Source organism: Homo sapiens, chromosome 14 (assembly GCF_000001405.40).
Source record: "Homo sapiens chromosome 14, GRCh38.p14 Primary Assembly".
NCBI classification, from domain to species: Eukaryota; Metazoa; Chordata; class Mammalia; order Primates; family Hominidae; genus Homo; species Homo sapiens.
Genome location: NC_000014.9, coordinates 60,133,970 through 60,159,164, shown reverse-complemented (window position 1 = coordinate 60,159,164; position 25,195 = coordinate 60,133,970). Strand labels below are relative to the sequence as shown.

General features: G+C 37.4%; 2 protein-coding genes and 1 pseudogene across 6 annotated transcripts in view; 1 reads left to right on the top strand and 2 right to left on the bottom strand.

Moving 5' to 3' along the window:
* SCOCP1 (short coiled-coil protein pseudogene 1) overlaps positions 1-154 on the bottom strand; it is a 2,415-nt pseudogene extending 2,261 nt beyond the window's left edge.
* Positions 1-15,046, top strand: part of DHRS7 (dehydrogenase/reductase 7) — a 25,771-nt gene extending 10,725 nt beyond the window's left edge. For 2 of the 4 annotated variants that reach the window (NM_001322280.2, NM_016029.4), the window contains exons 2-7: positions 3,013-3,165; positions 5,100-5,206; positions 5,987-6,226; positions 8,978-9,100; positions 9,597-9,812; positions 14,152-15,046. In NM_001322280.2, the coding sequence (NP_001309209.1) occupies positions 3,030-3,165; positions 5,100-5,206; positions 5,987-6,226; positions 8,978-9,100; positions 9,597-9,812; positions 14,152-14,199 (870 nt within the window). In that variant the 5' untranslated portion in view covers positions 3,013-3,029 and the 3' untranslated portion in view covers positions 14,200-15,046. Of the gene's footprint in view, positions 1-3,012; positions 3,166-5,099; positions 5,214-5,986; positions 6,227-8,977; positions 9,101-9,596; positions 9,813-14,151 lie in introns of all 4 variants that reach the window. The other 2 variants (NM_001322281.2, NM_001322282.2) reach the window with 2 other exon arrangements.
* Positions 10,944-25,195, bottom strand: part of PCNX4 (pecanex 4) — a 56,311-nt gene continuing 42,059 nt past the window's right edge. The window contains exon 11 of one of the 2 annotated variants that reach the window (NM_001330177.2): positions 10,944-25,195. In NM_001330177.2, the coding sequence (NP_001317106.1) occupies positions 24,944-25,195 (252 nt within the window). In that variant the 3' untranslated portion in view covers positions 10,944-24,943. The other variant, NM_022495.5, reaches the window with a different exon arrangement.

Sequence of the window (25,195 nt, the reverse complement as noted above, 5' to 3'; positions counted from 1 at the left end):
CCAACACTTGATTAATAAGCTGTGTTTTTCCCTCCAATTCCAAATGATTTTCAGCATCAACTGCATCCATGTCAATATTTGTCGTCTTGGGTAACAAACTTTTGGGCCTTGGATACAAAATCCTTGATGAATGTTTGAGGTGCTGGGAGAGGAAGGGATGGGGAGGATGCCTCAGGCTGGACACTTGGACCCACCGACACCAGAAGTTTGATTTCTTCTTTGTCAAACCACAAGGCAGGATTACTGCCCACTGCTACTGGTTGATAGCATTTAAAAGCTTATCATATCAGTATAAAAAAGATCCCTGGAATGATTAGACTTTCCCAAAAAAGGAGCTGAAGCCTTCAGAGATAATTAGCTTCCTCATCCTGTGAGGGAATTAGAGATGGGTCAAGGGCTTGAGAAGAGAATTCTCAAACTGGAGTGGGGGTTGAACTATCACTTTCCTTTCAACTCTTAAGAATCTACTTTCAGGGGCTCTTAAAGGGAGGCCATTATGTATACCAGATTCTGTGGAATCGGGAAACAAACGGTGCTAAATAAAAAAGTTTCTTCAGGGTGGGAGGAAGAGGCCAGAATTGTGATTGTATTAAAAGTTTACACCATCAGCTTTAAATATTTGCTTATGTGTGTAAATATCAAGAGGTCTTTGTTAGCTCGACACTAGTTAGTAAATCCTGTGTTTCTAAAACAAATGATATTCACTCTAGAGTGTGATGATTGCAGAACTTGGGAACAACAAGTAGTCAATGAATGAATAAATGATTATCTGAATAGATGTTATGTTGTTCTTGATAAAGTCCTATAGGAAGGTGGCCCAATTGTGCCTTTTCACAAAAGTACGTTATATGACAGGAAAGCATTGTAGCCCAGACATAGTATTTGGGATGTTTCCATCCTTAGTTGAGATTTTTTTTTTTTTTTTTTTTTTTCCGACAGAGTCTCACTCTGTCACCCATGCTGGAGTGCAGTGGAGCAATCTTGGCTCACTGCAACCTCTGCCTCCCAGGTTCAAGCAATTCTTGCACCTCAGCCTCCTGAGTAGTTGGGGTTACAACGATGCGCCACCACACCTGGCTAATTTTTGTATTTTTCATAGAGAACAGGTTCCATCATGTTGGCCAGGCTGGTCTCGAACTCCTGGCCTCAAGTGATCTGCCCGCCTTGGCCTCCCAAAGTGCTGGGATTACAGATGTGAGCCACCGTACCTGGCCTTAGTTGAGATATTTACATGGAACCTTTTTCTTAAGGACAAGTGGTATTTTCTTGAATGTCTAAGAAACAGTTGGGTTTTAAAATATTGATCATATGTAAATGTGTATATCATGAAATAGTGGACAGTGTGGGCTTTGGAGCTAGATATACCTGGGCTTATATCCCGGCTCTGCCAGGGTTCTTGGGTGTTTATTCAGTAGTTATTTATGGAGCCTTTTCAATATTCCAGTCTTTGCTAAGCACTGAGGCCACAGCAATGAACAAGGTAGACAGGGTCCTACCCTTAATGGAATCTATGGTCTAGTGGGACAAATTAATCTCTGTAAACCTCAGTTACCTTTTCTGTAAAACTGAGATAATAATACCTTTCCATACAGTTCTGGTGAGGCTTTTAGTAGACAATGTGCTAAGTACATAGGAAGTAATGTAAAAACGTTAAGCCATTAGAATTGGTAACTCTGTTTTCCTGGCTGGAGAAGTTAGGAGACATACGTTATTAAGTGACTGTTCTATGTTTTGCTGTAGTAAAGTCCATCTGTTAAAAAACTTGAGCAATAATTATAATTGACGTTTATTAAACACTGAGTATGTACTAGATACTGCCCTGAGTGCTTTCCATGTTTTAACTCATTTCTCAACAATCCTGTGAAGGATGTGTTCTTATTCATCACATTTCCAGTTGTGGAAAATTAAGGCACCAAGTTCTCACCTGGGAGCATTTCAGTGCTGTGTGTGATGGAGCTGGCATTTGAACCCTGGCAGTCTCCAGGGATGGTACTGTTAACATCACAGTTAGGATTTAGAGCTGTTTAAAACAGTACAATCATTTCCTGATTTTAACTTTTCTGATCTAAAATCGGAAATGTGATGTTAAGTGATACGATATTTGATATTTTTGATAAATAACATATATTTTAGTAAATAAGTCACCCAGGAACTTTGCATAACAGTGACTTTACGGGTTCAGAGAGACAGTGAATATCATCTCCTGAAGTGCTAATAAGTTTTTCATTGGAGAAAAGAATAAACCATTTGTCATTGCTTTAGTACTGTAACATTTGTAGTCTTTTAAGAGGAACATAATTGGAGAAGCAGAGTACAATATTTCATCTCTCTGTAATATGCATTTGTTCTTGGGTGAATTACTATATTCTCCTAAGATGAAAGCTCAGGCATCTGGGGAACATTTTTACAAAATGACCTTGAGCTGATAGGCATCAGGCATTATTGGCAAATGGGGAAAATACTACTTTAAAAATCTAGGATGTTTCCATCAACAGCACAGAACTTGGTATATTTAGATTCTTCATCAACCTCCATTGCAAAATATTAGAATAATAGAATTAAAAACTGGATGTGACCTTCAGCCATCATCTAATCTGAATGCCTCATTTAATGGCTAAGGAAAAGTGAGTCCAGACAGTGATTTTTGTATTTACTTAGCCTGTTTATCTTATCTATCATATTTATCTTACCTGTTTGTGTTAAATAGAGCCTTAGAGTGAAACCATGAGGTTATAAGGCTTACCTTGAAGTAAAGTCTGGAAAAGTCATGAAGGTTCTGTAATATACAAATACTGTGTTGATAACTGTTACTAGTATGATTTGTATTAATGCTTTTTTTTTTTTTTAGTTAAGAAGGAGATGCTTTCTTAGAATATTTCAAATTTTAACTCTATACATCATGCCTTCATATTTAGTGGTATTGTTTAAGGCTTTCTTTTTTTTTTCTAATCTTGGATTTATGAGCGTAATTCATTGCTTATTTTCTTCCTTCCATTTACATTCCTTCCATAGAATGGGAGCTGACTGATATGGTGGTGTGGGTGACTGGAGCCTCGAGTGGAATTGGTGAGGAGCTGGCTTACCAGTTGTCTAAACTAGGAGTTTCTCTTGTGCTGTCAGCCAGAAGAGTGCATGAGCTGGAAAGGGTGAAAAGAAGATGCCTAGGTAAGCGGATCTGAAATAGCAGCGGTGCTTCCTAGAAATAAATCAGTCCAAACTCAAATACAGTTTTGGGACTTTTAGAGAGGAGTGAGATTTCCCCCCGGCTCCAAATGTTCTACATGCTTCATCTCAGTTCCTCTCCTTTTTGCCTTAATTGGCTGCCCTCGCCTTTTTCTTCTTTTCTGCCACCTTTCTATGCTTTTTTTGCACTGACTCTTGGCATTAGGGAGTGACCAACAATTATATAAAATGCTGGTGGATTTTTAGTGACCAAGTATCTTAGATTTTTGTCTTAGAGAAAAAACAGTTGGGTTCTTATCCATGACATACATGTATCTGATCATAGAAATTAGGAAGAATCCTTACTCATTTTATTAAAGTATCAGATATTAAAATCATATGGGATAAGACTTATTATATAGGATAAAAGAACAGGAATGGAATTAGCTTTAAAAAATACAACTTGAGGTAATACTTTCATATTCACATAAAGGGCAACAGTGTTAATATTTTTGTTTGAATTTTGGTGTAGTTATGTTTACTTTTTTCTTTTTGAGATGAAGTCTCACTTTGTTGCCCAGGCTGGAGTACAATGGTGTGATCTTGGCTCATTGCAACTTCCGCCTCACAGGTTCAAGCGATTCTTGTACCTCAGCCTCCTGAGTAGCTGGGGCCACAGACGTGCACCACCACACCCAGCTAATTTTTGTATTTTTAATGGAGACGGGGTTTCACCATGTTGGCCATGCTGGTCTCGACCTCCTGACCTCAGGTGATCTGCCTGCCTCGGCCTCCCAAAATGCTGGGATTACAGGTGTGAGCCACCGCACCCAGCCATTATGTTCACATTGAAAGCAACTTCAAGTATAAAGTTATTATTTTTCATGGAACATTTATTAATAGTACCTAAACTGAGATAATTTTGAATTTTCCAACAGACCATTTTTTGGGCCATCTCTCTACCTGTCATTCTTTTAAATCTTTAACTTTGCTGATCGAGCTAACCACCCAGAAATGAGAGTTAGTTGCCACAGTAGTGCTCAGCAGGGCAACAGGCCTCTTTCATGATACTGCTTTCAAAGGCCTCTTGTGTTTTTGCACTGGGCCACTTCTTTTGATAGTTGTTCCTCTACTGCTGTGACTTGCAAGTCCTGTACTGGTGGAGTAGATGAACCAGGTCAGCATTTCTTACCTGGCACAAGGCTGTTTCCTTTTATCTTGCAGATCTGTAGTGCCCACTTTTTCATTTAATACAGTTGATGTTTCACGCTTAACTCTTTTGCCCATGAAGTCTTTTTACCTCTTCTATTTTCTATACTTGCTTGTTTTTCTTACTGATGTTACTTGTATTTCAAGGTTAGAGTCCAGGAAAATTAGTTTCAGTTGTTCTTTTGATGAACAGAAAGCCAATCACAAAGCAGCAGCATGTTTCTTGGTTGGGAATTTCAGGCATGTGTCCTTTTCCCTGTTTACCTCCAGGAATCCTTAGCCTCTGGAGAGAAGCTTCTATATGTCATTTGACTGTAGGACTCTGAGCTTCTTACTGATTTTAAGCACAAGTAGTTGTTTTGTGTGTAGAAGAGCAACTCATCTTTGTGAGCCTATCACAAAACAAAGGTACCTCTGTACTTCTAAAGAAATTGCTCTAAAATATTTGCTCTTTTCTAGTTTGTAGTATAATCTTGATTTCTATCAGAAATCAAATTGTAAAGTTAGACTGCATATTCAAGTTGCCATTCTACTTCCTGTGAGGCCAGCCAGCTTTTTGTCTGATATAACCACTAGTCCTCTTCCTGACCACCGAGAGGAACTTTCACAGGGCCACCCAGAAATGAGTTTGTTGCCAAGTCCTGTTGCAGGGTGGGTGTTAGTGGGAGTAGCAAGGAGCTTGACTGAACTATGGCATGACTTCCACACAAATTTTTGTCTTTATTTAGAGAATGGCAATTTAAAAGAAAAAGATATACTTGTTTTGCCCCTTGACCTGACCGACACTGGTTCCCATGAAGCGGCTACCAAAGCTGTTCTCCAGGAGTTTGGTAGAGTAAGTAGCATCTTATATTGATATAGTCTTGCTTTGAAGTAACTGCAGAAGAGATTCCCATCCGTGGTGCTGTCATACAAAGGGCTTTAGGCAAGTGGGGTCCATGCAGTGAGATCGGGCCCATGAGTTGGGCCCCTTAATCTCTGAGCCTTTGTCATTATGGAATTAGTACTTTTCATGTCTTAACAAGTACAAATTCCTCCATGTAGAACAAAAGAAGCTAAAAATTCACGGCTGCTTTTATTTATTTATTTATGTATTTTGAGACAAAGTCTTGCTCTGTCGCCCAGGCTGGAGTGCAGTGGTGTGATATCGGTTCACTGCAATCTCCGCCTCCCAGGTTTAAGGGATTCTCCTGCCTCAGCCTCCTGAGTAGCTGGGATTACAGGCATGCACCATCACGCCCAGCTAATTTTTATATTTTTTAGTAGAGATGGGGTTTCACCATGTTGGTCAGGCTGGTCTTGAACTCCTGACCTCATGGTCCACCCTCCTCAGCCTCCCAAAGTGCAGGGATTACAGGCTACTGTGCCCAGCTGGCTGCTTTTATTTATTTTAATGACAATTATTAACTTTCACAAAAAGTCACCTAAAACGGGAATTTAATTCCACAGGTAAATTCAGGGCTTTATTTTATCTTTTTAATTGCTGACTTCTGGAAATATACCATTGTTCCATTGATTCTTTAAGTTAACAAAATAACCAACCATCCATAGGAATTCCATCAATCTATCCACAAGACATCCCCCAAACACCCCTTTTCTGATTTTATTTAACTAGATCGACATTCTGGTCAACAATGGTGGAATGTCCCAGCGTTCTCTGTGCATGGATACCAGCTTGGATGTCTACAGAAAGCTAATAGAGCTTAACTACTTAGGGACGGTGTCCTTGACAAAATGTGTTCTGCCTCACATGATCGAGAGGAAGCAAGGAAAGATTGTTACTGTGAATAGCATCCTGGGTATCATATCTGTACCTCTTTCCATTGGATACTGTGCTAGCAAGCATGCTCTCCGGGTAAGGCTGCTCAAACTCAACTCTGATAGAACTGACTTAAATGTGTATATGGGGGATATGGCCATCACTGTGTGAGGTCCTTGGAACTGGAAGTGATGTGGGGAGACAGAGAGACCCAAGGAGACTTTTGGTAGAGGACACCCCCAGTAGATGCTAAAAAAGACTTGATCCACACATGCCTCTAACTTGTTGAACAAATAAATATGTATCAAGCACTGCATTGTGCCATGTACTACAACAGACCCTGGGGATATAAAGATAATAAGATGTGGTCTCTGCCCTCAAAAAGTGTATCATCTATTTAACATGTTACTCTTCACCTTATCCTTATTCCTACTAAATCTTCATGGAAAATTGGGGGTCCACTTCTCCTTTCTTCTACATACACTTCAGGATGTACTTTTTCCTCCCCATTTCTGTGACTTCTTTTCCTTGCCCCTTGTAGTTGGTGTTTATTTTGCCTGGTCTAATTATATATGCATGTCAGAAATAGGTACTTCCCACAGGATGATTAGTCCTGGTCTCATATCCTTACTGGGAAAAATCTTGACTGTATTCTCTCTGGTTTCATTGGAAGAAGAAAATCTAGTCAAGGCAGAGGCAAGGAGAGAAGCTTGATTTGGACTGCATAACTTACGATGTATAAATATTAGAAATGGATGAATTTTTAATGGTGGCTTAAGACTGGATATAAAGAAATTATAAGGCCAATAGGAAAAGAATGATTAAGGAAGACACAAAATTTATATTTAAAGCTGTTGAAGTCAGTTTAAGTAGAATGTTTCACTGTTGGAATCATGAGATGCAATAGCTACATGGTCATCATGGTTTCATGAAAATTTGAAGCTTTGGTTCTTTAGGACATCTTTTTTCTGCTGCAAAGTGCAGACAATTGCAGACAGTGATGAAGCGGAATGCTATACTGATGATTTCCTCATATTTAGTAACAGGCATCAGTCACTTCCTGTGGAGCAGTTGGGCAAGCCTCAGGCAGGCAGATGAGGGAGGGCGGCCACCCATCTGTTTGGCACCACGTGTCTCATAAGATATGCTGGATGCTTTCAGTAAACACAGATGAGCTGTCTGGCCTGCCCTCCAAGACTCATTATTTTATTACTGGATTTGATCCTATGATAAAATGTGGCAGGTTGAGACTGTAGTTACCAGGAAGCTCTTTTTGAAGAGCACATTTCCTTCTCAGATTCTCAGTAAACTACAGAATTAACTTGTTTATCATTGAAAAGTTTACACACAATACTAGATGTGATTTCAAACAAGGAGAGGTTTTAGTGTTTGATATATTGGCTTGCTTGGTGTCCTCTCTCCTCTTTTGCTACAGAGAGGCAGAAGGTTAAAGTTATGGGAGTTTTCCATTCAATTAGCAAGCTTTTTTTTTTTTTTTGGGTTCATCTCTGAGTCTGGCACTGTATTGGTCTCTGATCATAAACCCTCATAGCCCCTCTGTTTGTTGGGGTCAGCATTTCAGAGCTGATAACTGTTTAACATTTTTGGATCATATACAATGTACTGTGGGTTAGCTGTTTAGGCTTTTCAATAGATAACCCAGCCTTATAACAATGTAGTCTTGGAACATTTCCTAATTTAGGAAGAGATGAGAGGCAGTAGATTTCTGTTTACTCCCCATTGGTTTAGAAATGGTCAGTATCTTTTTAAGTCTAGAAGGTCTAGTCTGTTTTACACAAGTCATTCAGTAGGCAATCATATTACATTTTTAATTAGCCACATACCCTCTTATTACCCAAAAAGATAAATGTTTGCTAAAATGAATTAATACTGTTAAAATAGAAATATAAATGGAAAAAGTTGAATTCATTCTTTCTGATACTTTCTGTGAAGTACTAATCCCATCTTCCTCACCTTTGCCCCAAAAATTTGCACTTTAGACTACTTTGGGGAATAAATAGAAACCTGACCTCAGTGATTCTCAGTGGAGGACATATACCCCTTTTGGAGTGGGGAGAGGAGGACTGGTATGAAGAGCATATATCAGAATCTATAGGGATAGTTCTTTTTACCTATCCAGTGCATGCCTACCATAAAAATCATTGATGGGAAGACCCCTCACTATCAAAGGGGGTGAACCATTTATACCTGGAAAGAGCTGAGAATGTCTGTTCTAGATTGCCTCCAGTCTACTGTTAAAAGTGCCTTATACACTATTCACAATAGCAAAGACTTGGAACCAACTCAAATGTCCATCAATGATGGACTGGATTAAGAAAATGTGGCACATATACACCATGGAATACTATGCATCCATAAAAAAGGATGAGTTCATGTCCTTTGTAGGGGCATGGATGAACCTAGAAACCATCATTCTCAGCAAACTATTGCAAGGACAAAAAACCAAACACTGCATGTTCTCACTCATAGGTGGGAATTGAACAATGAGAACACTTGGACACAGGAAGGGGAACATCACACAGTGGGGCCTGTCATGGGGTGGGGGGAGTGGGGACGGATAGCATTAGGAGATATGCCTAATGTAAATGACCAGTTAATGGGTGCAGCACACCAACGTGGCACATGTATACATATGTAACAAACCTGCATGTTGTGCACATGTACCCTAGAACTTAAAATATAATAATAAAAAAAAGTGCCTAATAAGCTTGCATGATTACACTACCTGTCCTTTACTCACACATTTTAGAACATATTTTGATAAATCATGAGATATGTGTCTGTATTTATTTGCCTTTTTCCTTTTTTTTTTTTTTTGTCTGTTAGGGTTTTTTTAATGGCCTTCGAACAGAACTTGCCACATACCCAGGTATAATAGTTTCTAACATTTGCCCAGGACCTGTGCAATCAAATATTGTGGAGAATTCCCTAGCTGGAGAAGTCACAAAGGTAAAAATTTCTAGTTGGGAATAATTTGAATGTTTACTAGTTATATATTGGCATTATATATTGGTGTTGTATCACTGTATATCATAGTTTTTGCCTTAGAAGTGCTTTTATGTGAATTATTCACAAAACTCCTGCCATTATGAAAATTGTTTATGGAATTTCATTTGCTAAATGCATTGTCTTAATAGTTTGATTTTTATTACAAAAGTGATAATTGTCATTAAGCACATTAGGGTGATGCAATTCTAATTAAAAGCAAAGAATCTTCATCTTTTAGTTAGCCTGCACTATATTATCTAGTAAGCATATGGTTTCTGTTAGGCTTTTTGAAATATTACAAATAGTTTATAAACTCCCATTAGTACCTATGGAGACTCCTAAGGGGCATGAAGCTCCACTAAAGGAACCACTCAACTAGACGGCATTTGAGTCCTTTCTAGCTTAAAGTTATGTGAAATCGCTTGGATAAATTCACTTAATTTTTAACTTTTCTTAGACTATAGGCAATAATGGAGACCAGTCCCACAAGATGACAACCAGTCGTTGTGTGCGGCTGATGTTAATCAGCATGGCCAATGATTTGAAAGAAGTTTGGATCTCAGAACAACCTTTCTTGTTAGTAACATATTTGTGGCAATACATGCCAACCTGGGCCTGGTGGATAACCAACAAGATGGGGAAGAAAAGGATTGAGAACTTTAAGAGTGGTGTGGTAAGACCAATTTCTAAGTTTCTTAATAGTATGTACCAATCTTGCAGGAAGGTACAGAATTTTCCAGTGTTTAAAAAACTTTCTGGCTGGGTGCAGTGGCTCATGTCTGTAATCCCAGCACTTTGGGAGGCCAAGGCAGATCACTTGAGGCCAGGAGTTCAAGACCAACCTGGCCAACATAGTGAAACCCCATCTCTACTAAAAATACAAAAAGTAGCTGGGCATGGTGGTGCATGCCTGTAATCCCAGCTACTCGGGAGGCTGAGGCATGAGAATTGCTTGAACCGAGGAGGCGGAGGTTGCAGTGAGCCAGGATGGTGCCACTGCACTCCAGCCCGGGTGATAGAGCGAGACTCTATTTCAAAATCAAAAAACCTTTCTAACCCTCCACCAATCTCATGATATAAAGAAAAATAAATAAAAAATATTTTATCCCCATGCATATATTTTGGTTTACTATAAATTATTACTAGTCTTGGAGAGAGAAGTTTCTTACAAGGTAAAATCAAATCAAAGATTGCCATGTTTTTCTTCTATACATATTGTTTGACCAGTGTGTGTGTCAAAATGCTCTTTCCCTACTGTTTCTCCCCACCAACTCCTACCCATCCTACCAGTCTCAACTCCCATGTCACCTCCTTGGAATGGTACCTGGCCTTCCCTCCCACTTCTCCCCAGGACCAAGTGCACCTCAGCCCCTATGCTTTCCTGTCAAAGCACTTACTGTGTTGTTAAAACAGATGCATGCAGTTTTACCTCATTCCCGAAGTACTCAGCACATCTAAGATGTGCCTATTCCCCTGTCTAAGGAAATATGCTGATTATCATTCTTTCAGCACTCATTCTTTATAGCAATTAGTCAGGGAATACTATTAACCATTTCTGAGAAATTGTGACCCTCAAAAGAATTTAATTTATAGACAGTACAGGAAATGTAATGAAGTAAACCAAAAATTATAGATGATTATGCAGCAAAAGATTATTGCTGAGGATGGTTTTTACTGTTAGCCTTTGATATACTTTGTTACCACCTTCTTTTAGAAATTAATCAATGGGGATTGACAGATAAAAAAAGAATTATAAAACAAGATCATACTATATATACCTGCAAAAATTTAAGCAATCCACTAATTGTTAGACATTTAATTTATTCCAACTCTTTGCAGGACAGTGAAAATGAATTAGGGGGTAAAAAGTTACAAACACAACAAAATGCTTAAGAGACATAAAAGGTTATCAGACTGGGTCATGACACACTAAAATGTCCAGAGTGTGAAAAATCAAAAAGGAGCTTTTCGTTTTCTACCAAGTAGTAATGTGGAACAGTTTGCTTTGGGCCAGATCCCTTATGAGTGTTTTGGTATTGTTGGGACTTGGTAGTGTGGGTAGAAGCTCTAAAGGTAGAGTTTCATCAAAGAGTATACCTGAGTTTTAAATATGGAGGACAGCTGATGCAGTAGCTTTGTGCCCAGTGATGGAAAGAGTTGAGAGGGACAGGCCACCTTACTACAGAGGAAGCACAGCCTCCTGGCAGAGCATGCAGCCTGGTGCTAGGCTACCTGGGTTCAAATCCCAGCTCTGCCCCATGCCCTTAAAGCAAGTTACTTCTCTATCACTCAGTCTCCCCATCTATTAATATAAGATGGAGATTAATGATGATAATAGTGCCCAGTCACAGGATTGTTATGGGAATTACATGAATTTAATATATGAAAAGCACTTAAAACACAACTTGGAGTGTTCTAAGTGTTAGCTATTGTGCTTTTTCCCCCTTCTCAGCTTGAGTTAGATATAGCAGGATATTCAGCTTCCTTAATGATCAAAGATTTTCTTTATAATTGACACATAAAAATTATATATATTTAAGGTATACATTGTGATGATCTAATATACACTGTAAAATGATTACCACAATCAAGCTAATTAATACATGTCACCCAGTTACCTTTTTTTGTGTGTGGTGAGAACACTTAAAATCTTCTTAGCAAATTTCAAATATGCTATACAGTATTATTAACTGTAGTCACCATGCGGTATATTAGATCCTTAGAATCTGTAAATTATAATAACATAAGTTATTTATCTTATAACTGAAAATATCTACCATTTTTTTTCTTTGAGACAGGGTCTCGCCCTGTCACCCAGGCTGGAGTCTGCAGTGGCGTGATCATGGCTCACTCCCATCTCTACCTCCCAGGCTCAAGCAATCCTCCCACCCCAGCCTCCTGAGTAGCTGAGACTATAGGCGCACACCACCATGCCTGGCTAGGTTTTGTAGTTTTTGTAGAGACGGGTTTTTGCCACGTTGCCCAGGCTAGTCTCAAACTCCTGGGCTCAGGCGATCCACCTACCTTGGCCTCCCAAAGTGTTGGGATCATAGGTGTGAGCCACTGTGCCTGGCCAAAATGTGTACCTTTTGACCAAGATCTCCCCATTTCCTCCATCTTCTGGCTCCTGGCAACCATCATTCTACTCTGCTTTTGAGTATGACTTTTTAGATTCCACAGAAGTGAAATCACATAGTACTTGTTTTTCTGTATCTTGCTTATATCACTTAGCATTAACGTCCATTCATTATCCATGTTTTCACAAATGCCAGGAGTTCCATTGTTTTATGGCTGAAAAATATTCCATTGTGGAATAATATTCCATATATATATATACACACACAGACACACACACACATTTTCTTTATCCATTCATTCACTAATGGACACTTAGGTTGTTTCCATATCTTGGCTATTATGAATAATGCTAAAATGAACATGGGAGTGTAGGTATCACTTCAAGGTACTGATTTCACTTCCTTTAGATTTATACCCTTAAGTGGAATTGCTGGATCAGATGGTAATTCTATTTTTAATTTTTTGAGGAATTTCCGTATTTTCCATAATGTCTGTACTGGTTCACATTCTCAATTTAAATAATAGGGCAGAGAAAGAATATATTATAGAAGTGATTTTTTTTTCAAAGGGGAAAGAGGGACCAGGGACTAGAGAATTTCAGTCCCACTGTAGTAGTACTTCCAGAAATGTCCATATGAAGGATATTTTGTTTTGTTTAGAGAATATCTAACTGTAAAATATAAACATCATTTAGCAAATCTCGCATTTTTTTTACATCTAGGTTTTTCTAAAAAAATGACAGCCTTTTTCTTCCTACCACCATCTTTGAAATATTGCTTATTATATAGTCTTACTACTTTGTCACTCTTTATTATAAGCTGGGCATTCTGTCATTTCTCAAAGCAATTTTTAGGACATAATACCTCATTCTTTATAGTCTGTACTCTTCCTCTCTCCCACTATTTTATATTTTATATATATGTATATATATAAATTTTCTTATTGATAAGCGTCTAAGTTAAGAAAATGCTAGCATAGCTTATTTCAAGCTAATAGTACTTGTTAACTAGAATTTGCTTCTTTAGTCTGTATGTCTGGAACTTTGTTTTTATGAATCTTTATTATTTTTAGGGATCAAGAACAGTGGCTACACTGAATTTTGTATTATCATTATTATTATTTTGTCTTTCTTAGTGCAAAGTTTTGAAAGTGGTAAATGCATATCTTCTGAAAAGAAACATCACATCTTGGGGATTATCAGGTTGCCTTGTTTTATTCCTTAAGCAATATACAAAAAGTTCACAAATAATTTTTTTTTCTTTTTATTTTTTTTGAGACAGAGTTTCCCTCTTGTTGGCCAGGCTGGAGTGCAATGGCGCAGTCTCAGCTCACTGCAACCTCCGCCTCCTGGATTCAAGCAATTCTCTTGCCTCAGCCTCCCGGGTAGCTGGGATTACAGGTGCACACCACCACACCCAGCTAATTTTTGTATTTTTAGTAGAGATGGGGTTTTGCCAGGCTGGTCTCTAACTCCTGACCTCAGGTGATCTGCCCACCTCGGCCTCCCAAAGTGCTGGGATTACAGGCATGAGCCACAGTGCCTGCCTGGCCACAAATAATTTTAAAGAGTTATCTTCCATATATCTCAATTCTACATAATCTGACTCATTGTTTTTATTTATTAGGGCAAGTCAGTGTAGGTATGATATGCTGATCCAGAAAAGTCATTATAGAGAATTTAGCATTGCAGTCCAATGCTATTTATACCTCCTCTAAACCAGAGATGATGCTAAACTCATTAGAAGTACTTTTGTGTACATCTAGAATTTTGGCTATGATTTTTAAATTCTAATTTAAGCAGTTTCTGAACTTTTGTAAAGATTCTTAATAGTGAATCATAATGATACAGCTCCTCAAAACAGAAGGACTTAAATGTTAAAAACTGGAGTAAATAGGAGTAGGTACTGATCCATGTTTCTGTCCCTCTTTTACAGGATGCAGACTCTTCTTATTTTAAAATCTTTAAGACAAAACATGACTGAAAAGAGCACCTGTACTTTTCAAGCCACTGGAGGGAGAAATGGAAAACATGAAAACAGCAATCTTCTTATGCTTCTGAATAATCAAAGACTAATTTGTGATTTTACTTTTTAATAGATATGACTTTGCTTCCAACATGGAATGAAATAAAAAATAAATAATAAAAGATTGCCATGAATCTTGCAAAAAAGGTATTAACTCATACTATATTCTTGGATAAAATAACCTTTTAAAATACTTTAGCACATATGCTTAAAATCTAAGTTAACAGATTTGTCTTAGTCCATTTGTGCTGCTATAACAAAATACCACAGATTTGGTAATTTATAAACAACAGAAATCTGTTTTTCCTGGCTCTTGAGGCTGGGAATTCCAAGACCAATGCACCAGCAGAATTAGTGTCTGGTGAAGGCTGATCTCTGCTTCCAAGATGGCACCTCATTGCTGCATCCTCCACAGTGGAGGAATGTATGTCCTCACATGGTGGAAGGGACAGAAGGGAAAGAGGAGCAAAATGCTTTCAAAAGAGCATTTAATCTCATTCATTACTCAGTCACCTCTTAAAGGCCACATCCTTTAATACTGTTGCTTTGGGGATTAAGTTTCGACATGAATTTTGGAGGGGACAAAAACATCCAAACCATAGCAACATAAATGTATAGAATATTTCACACAAAGCAGAGTGCTGGGTAATGACCAGATATAAAGAAGTATTTGAAATGACCTTACCTCCAAGATGCTTATACTCTTAGAAAAGTTGACAGGTACAGATGGCTGTAATTTGAAGCAGCAGGTAGGATTCATTGCACCTATTATTCATTAAACACCTGTTGTATGTCTTCTACTGTACTGGAGTGCTTAGTATTAGTTAATTAACTCATTCCTCATAACAGCCCACTAAGATAGATGGTATTACCTACCTTGATAGATGAAGAAAGACCAACAAGGTTTTACTTTTCCAAGGTCAAGGTCACAAAGCTAGTAAGGGGTAAAGCCATGATTAGATTCAGCTCAGGAAGATTCCACTGGCAACTCCTTACTTCTACTATTATTAATTTTACTTTAACATTTAACACCTTACAGCAGAAAACATGCACAGGCACTAATAGGAAATCAGCAGGAGTAACAGGTAAAGAAAAACATGGTCCTTATCTACAAGCAGTTCACAATTGAGCTGGAGCCAAAGTAACATACATAAAATAACTGTAGAATAGTTGTTGGGCAAGTTGGAAGCCACCCAAGTGGCTGTCCTTGGAAAAGGGGGAAGATGACATGTGGTAGAGGTACACGATGAGGTATAGCGGGTAGAAGCAATGGAATAAATGCATACATAACAACATGGATATGTACTAGAGGCATAGTCATAAGTGAAGAAATAAAGAAGCAACGCTAACACAATACTGTTCACATACACAAATATATGTGCACAGAAGATAGTGCTCATTTTGCAAGAAAACATACAACCTAATTAGATATATATTTAGGTATGGTAATAGTTACTTAGGATGGGGAGGAAACGGGGTGAACTATGGGGATAAAATATAATAAAGAGAGGACTCTTGCGTGACCAGTGATGAAAACTGGAATAACAACATTATTTATTGAATACAACACACCAATTATAAGAATGAAAAGATTGGAATAATTCTAGAATGCCACAAAATAACATATGTCATGTGGCCTGGTACAGACTATAAGCATAATAGTTCAGAAAAGGGAGATTTGCAGATAGAATCATGTGGAAGCCCTTCCTGATGAAGGTGTCACTTGCACTGGGCCTTGAAAGAAAGGAATTTAGACAGATGAAGAGAAGCTTCAGGAGGCCAGGTTCCAGGTCAGTTTTGTTTTATTCATCACTGAATCTCCAGTGCCTGCCTAGCATTGTGCCTGCTGATGTCTGTTCAACTACTCCAGCCAATGAATGGTAGAAGAGGTATATATAAATTAAAATCTTTAAAGATTCATCTGTATGGCATTTTTTTCTTTCTTTCTTTCTTTCTTTTGGAGATGGAGTCTTACTGTGTCGCCCAGGCTAGAGTACAGTGGCACTATCTCAGTTCACCGCAATCTCTGCCTCCTGGGTTCAAGCGATCCTCCTGCCTCAACCTCCCAAGTAGCTGGGACTACAGGTGTGCACCACCATGCCCGGCTAAGTTTTGTATTTTTAGTAGAGACGGGGGTTTCACCATGTTGGCCAGGCTGGTCTCAAACTCCTGACCTCAAATGATCCACCCGCCCTGGCCTCCCAAAGTGCCACCGCTCCCGGCCTGTGTATGGTATTTTTCTATGGCATGTAATTTTCTGTACACACCCTCTTTCTTTCTTAGGCTTTTTTGTCAGCAGCCCAAGATGGAAAAGGCAGCTTTATGTCAAGGTTCGCCAAAGACAGTCAAGAGCTGTGAAAGCCAAATGTTCACATTTAACTTTTTTTAAAGTATTTATTACTCGGCATCAATGTATTTCTTAATCATTATCCTGAGTGGACTTTTAAGTAGGAAGAAAATGGTGTGTTCATTACTCCAAAGCTGAAACACAGTTGGGGTTGTGTAAGGTGACAGCAGGTGAGTTGGTAAAAGAGTTAGCAGAAGTGACGGCTTTCGTTTCCTCAACTACTGGATTCACCAGTAAGCCACATGAGACCTCAGTCACAATCGGTAATTCAAAGGTAGATTTAAATATAAATATCCTGTTATTTCTGACACCTTTACTGAGGTATAATTGATGTATGATAAACTGCATATATTTAAAGTGTACAATTTGTTAAGTTTTGCCATATGGCTACACTTGTGAACCATAACCACAATCAAGAGAGTAAACACATATATCAGCCCCAGAAGTTTCCCTTTGCCCTTTTGTAATCATTTCCCCTCGCCCACCCCATTCCAGGCAACCAATGATGTGCTTGCATTATTATAGATTAGTTTGCATTTTATAGTTTTACATAAATGTAATTATACATTTTGTACACATAAACTGCTGGCGGGAATGTCAAAAGGTACAATTAACTTGAAAAAGACTTTTAGCAGTTCCTTAAAAATTTAAATATACACTTATCATATGATTTAGCCATCCCAGTCCTAGGTATTTGCCCAAGAGAAATGAAAGCTTATGTCCACATAAAGACTTGTAAATGAATGCTCATAGCAGCTTTACATAATAGCCCAAAACTGGAACCAACAAATGTCCATCAACAGGTGAATGGTATAAACAAACTGTTATATTCTATACCATGCAGCACTACTCAGCGATAAAAAATAATGAATGATTGATACATAAAACAACATGGAAGAACCTCAAAGAAGCCAGGGCATCTGGGTCTGGAGATTTCTTTTATCAGGAGATTTTAAATTATGAATTTAATTCTTTAATGGTTATAGGATATTCAGATTATTTCATCTTGGTTGAGTTTTAATAGTTTGTGGTTTTCAAGAATCAGATTATTTCTTCTAAGTTGTCATGTGTATAAGCCGAAAGTTACAGTATTTCCTCATTATCTTTTTAATGACTGCCTGATTTATAGTGATACTCTTCATTTCATTCTTGATAATAATGATTTGTGTTTTTTCTTTTTGTCAGTCTTTCTACAGGTTTATGGATTTTCTTGATTGTTTTTTGAAGAACCAGTTTTTTGTTTATGTATTTTTCTATTTGCAGTTTCATTGATTTCTGCTTTTGGTTATTTCCTTTCTTTTGCCTGCTTTGGGCTTATTTTGCTATTCTTTTTCTTGTTTCTTGTGGTGGGAACTTAGGTTATTGTGCTGAGACCTTTCCTCATTTCTAATATGCTATCTTCCTAGGTATTCCCTGGGATGTAGGAGACAGCTCTTGGAGACACATGGGGTTGGCTATCTGGCTTTTGGAGAGACTTTGTCTACCACAAGAATAGAGTAAAAGCAGACTCTTTCAGGAAGGGAAGAGGATGGCTGCCTCTTTCATCTTTATAAGTAGGGAAAATTAATTTTCCCTGTCCCTTGCCTATGCAGTATTTGGCCACTTACATAGCCAAAATCCCATGAGTTTCTTATCAGGTTGCTCTGGGGGATATGGACGAGTGCAAAGGTGGGCAGGTGCACTTGTTTACCCTGAGTAATAAGAAATCTATCTCTGACTCTGAACATCTTATGTGCATACTCAAGATAAGAAAAATAAAGATGAATATTAAAAAGCAAACTTTTTATGAGTGGATACTGGTTTATCAAATACTTTTTCTGGATCTACTGAAATATTATTTTTCTCCTTTCATTCTGTTAATGTGTTGAATCATATTGATTGATTTGCAACTATCACACCAACCTCACTTTTTCAGGAAGAAACCCAACTTGATTGTGATTATTCTGTGTGTGTAGGGGTGTGTGTGTGTGTGTGTATGTGTGTAGTTTAGTTTGCTAGTATTTTGTTTGGGATTTTTGCATTGATGTTGGGGGGAATGAAATAGGTCCCTTTCTCATAAAGTTTTTGCCAGGTTTTGGTATCTAGGTTTTCTGGCATCATAAAATGAGTTGGGGAGGGTTCCTGCATTTCTACTGCTCTTTGTAAGAATTTAAGATTGTCTTTCCATTGACGAATCAATCCATCTAGGCTTGTTGTTTCACTATGGAAAAGCAAATAAAGTAACTATAGGTTCCACTTCTTTAGCAGATAGGGAACTACTCGAATTTTCTATTTTTTCATTTGTCAATTTTGGCTCTTCCATAGTTTAAAGAATTTATTCACTTCATCTAAAATTTCCAACTAATTGGCATGAAGTTGTGCACATATTTTGTCAGATGACTCTAGGATTTGTAATATCCTTTCATTCCTGATATTGGTTGTTTGTGTTTCTTCCTTTTTCAGTCTACCAGACACTTATCAATTATCTTTTCAAAGAATCAACTTTTGGCTTAGTTGATCCACTTTATCTTCATTTTCTACTCCATTAATTCTTGTTCTTTATTATTTCCTTTATTTTCTTCAGGTTTAATTTGCTATTCTTAGAATATTTTAACTACTAGGTTCATTTTCAATCTTTTTTTTTTAATGTGCGTTTAAGACTATAAATTTCCTTCTAAGCATGGCTTTAGGCGTCTACCATAAGTTTTGACATGTAGCACTTTCACTACTCAGTTCAAATATATTCTAATTTTCATTGTAATTTATTGTCTGATCCATGAGTTATTTAAAAGTGTATTTCTTAATTTATGAACTTAATAGAATTTTTCTATTTTTGAAATTATTATTGATTTCTAAGTGAATGATACATGGCCAAAGAATATATTCCATTCCTATGACTTGGAATATGGTCAGTTTTGATAAATATTCTATCTGCATTTGAAAATAATGTGTATTTTGCAGTTGTTGGGTATTCTGTTTCATATATGCCAATTAGGTTAAGTTTTAAAGTATTATTCCAATCTTTACATATTTACGTATTTTTGCATGGCTGCTGTTCTGTTACTGAGTATATTAAAATCTGGGAATGCAGACTTGTCTTTTCTCATTTTAGTTCTGTTCATTTCTGCTTATATATTTGAGGCTATATTGTTAAATCATTAAAATATTAGACCTGTTGAAACTTTCTGGTGAATCAAATCTTTTATCATTACAAATTGTCTCTCTTTGTAATACTTTTCACCTTAAGGTCTACATTGAATAATGTTGCAATAGCCACCATAGTCCCCTGCCCTATCGTTTTTGTTTTTTGTATTTCATATTATAATTTTTCCATTCTTGTTTACTTCAAACCTTTGTATTCCTATACTTAAGACATCTCTTGCATAAAGGTACTTTGTGGGTTTTCTTTCTTTTCACTTTGATGATCTTTGCATTTAATTGGTACACTGTCTATTCATATGAATGTTGTAACTGATATTTAAACCTCCTAATCTACTGTTTGATTTCTATTTGTCCTATTTGTTCTATATTTTCTCTACCTTTTTGCCTTATTATTCCACTTTAGCCCTGTATTAGCTTTGTAGTTCTACGATTGTTTTATTTTGCTTTTTGCTGTTCTTTTAGTGGTTACCCTATAGATGACACAGCAGTCTTATTTATACTTTAATCTTCTTTCTGATAATTCTGACCTTAGAATTCCTGCACCAAATTTGTATATTATTGTCACATTTTAACATTATTTATTTTAACCTCGAAGACTATTTTATATAGTTAATATTCACTTAAACTGTATATATATATTTTTAAATTACTGTTCATTCCTACCTTTATCTCTAACCTTTTTCTGGGATCTTTTTCCTTCTGTCTGAAGAATACCCTTTACTATCACCTTTAATGACAATCTGCTATTAAATTTGTTGCGTTTGAAAGTGTCTTTGCCTTCATTCTTAAGAATTGTTTTTGGGGAAAGGCTGGGTATTGAATTCTAAAATTGCAGATATTTTCTTTCAGTAACCTGAAAATATCATGCCATTGATTTCTGCTTCCCATATTTTCTGTTGAGAAGTTAGCTGTCAGTTTAATAAAATTGTGCCTCCTTTAAAAGTAATGTCTTTTATCATTGTCTGGCTCCTTTAATGATTTTCTTTTTGTGTTTTATTTTTTCTTAGGATGTGCTAAGTTGTAATTTTGTTTTTATTTATCATGCTTTGATCTTGCAGGTCTTCATGTCTTAAAAACTTGGAGAATTCTCAGTCATTATCTCCTCACAGGTTGCTTCTGCCATATTCTCTCTTCTCCTGGAAATCCAGTTACGTGTATGTTAGATCTTCTCAAGTTAACTCTATGTCTCTTATACTCTCTACTATATTTTCTATTCTTTTGTCTCTTAGTTTTTCACATCTGGTATTTACTTCTGACATAACTTCTAGTTCACTAATTCTTACTTCACTGTATGCACTTTCTATCAAATCTATTCACTGAATCCTTTTTTTTTTTTTTTCTTTTTGAGATGGAGTCTCGCTCTGTCGCCCAGGCTGGAGTGCAGTGGCATGATCTTGGCTCACTGAAACCTCTGCCTCCCGGGTTCAAGTGATTCTCCTGCCTCAGCCTCCTGAGTAGCTGGGACTACAGGCACCCACCACCACACCCGGTTATTTTTTTTTTTATTTTTACTACAGATGGGGTTTCATTGTGTTAGCCAGGATGGTCTCGATCTCCTGACCTCATGATCCACCCGCCTCAGCCTCCCAAAGTGCTGGGATTACAGGCGTGAGCCACCGCGCCCGGCCTATTCACTGAATTCTTAAACTTGATTAATGTACTTTTAAGTTGGGGACTTGTTGATTGATTCTTCTATATAGTTTCTGATTTTCTGCTGAAATTCTCAATCTTGTGTTTTAGATCTTTAAACACACTAAACATAGTAATTTTAGACCCTGTGTTGTATAGCTCATTATCTGGGTCCCCTGTGGCTCTGTCCCATCATCTGTCGCTTCTTTCGGATTTTCATCATGTTGTCTTGTTTCCTCAGATACCTTAAATAACTTTCCAACACTAAACATGAAAAGTTATAAAAATAACTCAAAAGATCAGTCCAGAGAGGATTTACATTTGCTCTGGGTAGCGGCTGCAGCAAAGGGTCACCTGAATCCAGTTTTGGGAAGTGAGAAGATCCTAACTGCATCTGGTTTTTCTTCACCCTTACAATTTGGATATGGTCCTTGGGGTCACAACCCAATGTATGGTCAGTTAACTAGGATTCCTTTCCCCTCCCCTACTTCCTTGGAGAGTCTTGGTCTCCAGTTTTTGTCCCTCTAACTCAGCAGCAAGGCTGTTATAAGTGTTACTTAGCGTCTCAGACTCTCAACCACCTTATCCTGAATTGGCATGTCTCCTATAAGAAAAGCAGCCCAAATGCTGAGCTCAGGTCTCTAAGTTTCATTCTGTCTTAGATCTTAGTGATGTTATTCTTCACTGTCTTTTGGTTCTCTAATGCCTTTAAGCAGATTTTAAAATACTATTTTGCCTGGCATTGCTAGTTCTCTGAAATAGTTGGTATGAATGCACCACTAAAAGTTAGAAGTAGAAAAGTAGGTTTTAGGGAAAATTCAGTAACGTTAGTGTTAGTCCAAACTGCACCATTTTGTAAGCTCCCCGCTATTTTGCAGACCTTGATCAAAGTAAAACATTTCACAGGGGTTCGGGCAGTGAGAAACATGCTGCCTAACCACCTGACCACAAGGCGGAAAAAGGCCCAACCTAAGAAATATCCCTATCATATCTTGCTGGGCAAAGTTCCAAGGAATACTATGATGACATCCCACCACAACAAGGGCCAGAACCACCTCATCATGGGAGCATCTTATCAATATCCTGCCGAGCAGCAAGCCATACTGCCCAGACCCCTCTCACCCATGCCTATAAGTACGCCCAGCCTGTAAGCAGCGGTGGGCTCTGGCATTAAGCTGGTCCCCCACTTCTGTAGGTTTTATGCTAGACATAAAGTCTGCATTTGCTGTCAAGCTGCCCTCTGTGTGTCTTTCTTTAACTCTCACCTTCCCTTCAAAATCTAACAGTCAGTTTTTAATATACCAAGTGAAGATACCAAATAAGTGATATATATAGGTTCAGTGTAAGAAGAGAGGTTGGGTTAGGTACATATATTTGATCATCATCAATTTATTGATGATATTTCAAGTCTTGAAGTAGATGAGATTATCTATGGTGATTGCAGAAACACAAAGGGGGGCCTAGAATCAATTGTTGAGAAATTCTAAAATTTAGAGGTCAGGTAGAAGAGGAGAGGCAGCAAAGATGTTTGAGGAGTTGCTAGGAAGATAAGAAGAAAACAAAGATAATGTAGTGTCAGGAAAGTTCAAAAGAAAACACAAAAGCTGCTTCAAGGAATGGTCAAATGTGTCAATTACTACTAGCTGGTTTGACAATAAAAAGGTCAATAGTGACCTTAATAAAAACTTTTTTTTTTTTTAATTTGGGAGAGTCATGGAGATGGGATCCAGATTGGAATGATTTGACAAGTAAATGAAAGAGAAAACCTGGCTATGAATGAAATGGAGATATGGGAGCACTTTGAGGAGGATGCAAGGTTAAGCGAAGGCATAGCTTGACATTATTATCACAGTGAAAATCTCTAAACAACTTAAAATTCACATTATTTGGGGGACAGTAGTCCAATAAATAATATCTATCAATGGAATTTTATGCTGTCATTAAAAGTGATAATTATGGCTGGGCACGGTGGCTCACGCCTGTAATCCCAGCACTTTGGGAGGCTGAGGCGGGCGGAGCATGAGGTCAAGAGTTCGAGACCAGCCTGGCCAACATGGTGAAACTCTGTCTCTACTAAAAATACAAAAATTAGCCGGCGTGGTGGCATGCGCCTTTAATCCCAGCTACTCAGGAGGCTGAGCCAGGAGAATCGCTTGAACCCAGAAGGCGGAGGTTGCAGTGAGCTGAGATCGTGCCACTGCACCCCAGCCTGGGTGACAGAGCGAGATTCCATCTCGGAAAAAAAAAAAAGCTGATAATTACAAGTACTTTTAACGACATGAGAAAATATTTCTACATGACAAAGATATAAAGGTGTACAGCTAGCAAATCTCAATCATGTAAATTAAATCATAAGTCTGAGATGTAAACTCAGAGTAATACAAAATCCTATCTTAGTAACTGTACTATATTACCTCCAAAAAAAGAATAACATACAAATCTCTTGAATTCATTAACTGAAAATTGGTCCAAAAAGTTTATCCTTTAACATTGTTAGAGTGAACTCGTCCACATACTAAATAAATGGAATACTAATAACAACTTAACTGGTACATTTCATATAATTTGAATGATTTCTAAGGAGAATACATTATTATAAATCTAGGGGGCTCCTACTGATTTCATTGGAAATTAAGTAAGAATTAGAGGAAACTGATCTCTCAACTGATGTGGATTCATTATTAATCCCCCTTACATGTATCTGTAAAACGTTCCTAAGCAAGAAGAGAATGAAAATAAAATTCAGATCGTATTATAAAAATTTTCTTCCATCTCCTTCTGACTTTAGTTCATATACCTTAAGACACTAGTAACTGGTAGTCCTGTTGGGTAAATCATTTTTCAGAAGCAGTAAATTCAGTTGAAAGAAATACATAATGAGTCAGATATATGCTTTAGTAGTCATATGCAGATTACCCTAACATTGCTCTTCCTGTGAATATTCACATGATGAATGGGATGAACCCCGCTCCTTTCACATATATTAGAAGGATATTTGAAAAGGAAGGAAAATATTTTATTAAAAGTTTTTTAAAGTTTATGAATTGAAGTCTATGAAAACAAACTACTTGATACAAAAACATTCAGATATTAGATGTCAAAATAAATCAGCACATTTGAAAATACTATAAATTATATTTCAAACAAATATATACACATTATGTTAACCTTCAACAGGATCCATTATCACTACTTAGAACACTGATATGTTTATCTCTTAAGTATGTAAAAATTACATAGCTGTTAACTTTGTATGGCAATTCACCTATAACACATTTAAGAAAGCATTACAAAATTCATTATATGATAATTCTACAAAAGTTTTCTCACATTTACCAAAGCCTACTAAAGTCCAGAGGGCACAAATATTGGCCAAATAGTTCTTTTATCTTAGACATAAAGATGTTTTTGCTGTTTTTTAGAACCATTAAGATGGCTAAGAGAACCAACTTTACGGAGCTTAGCTGTTCTCAGGCATCTGAATGGGGGTGTGGAGAAGTCCTCAAGTTACAAGAATCACAGTTACTTTTTTAGGATGAAAAAATAAAAACATTGCATTTGATGACATTACAGTCAAAATGAGCTCTAATACAAATGTATGTGGAGAGGTTTTGAAGAATAAATCGGATATCCCAGGGGAGGTTCTGCTGCTTGTACCGTAAGATTTCTTAAAAGTAGTGGATGAGCTTGTATACTATAACGTTCTTCATCATCGTTTGTGGCATAAAGTAATTCCCATGAAAGATTGGCCCACTGACCTCTAACAGCTTCAGGATTTAACTTTCCCACTTGGATCAATAATTCTTGAAGGCTAAGCACTCTCCCAGTGTAAATTCC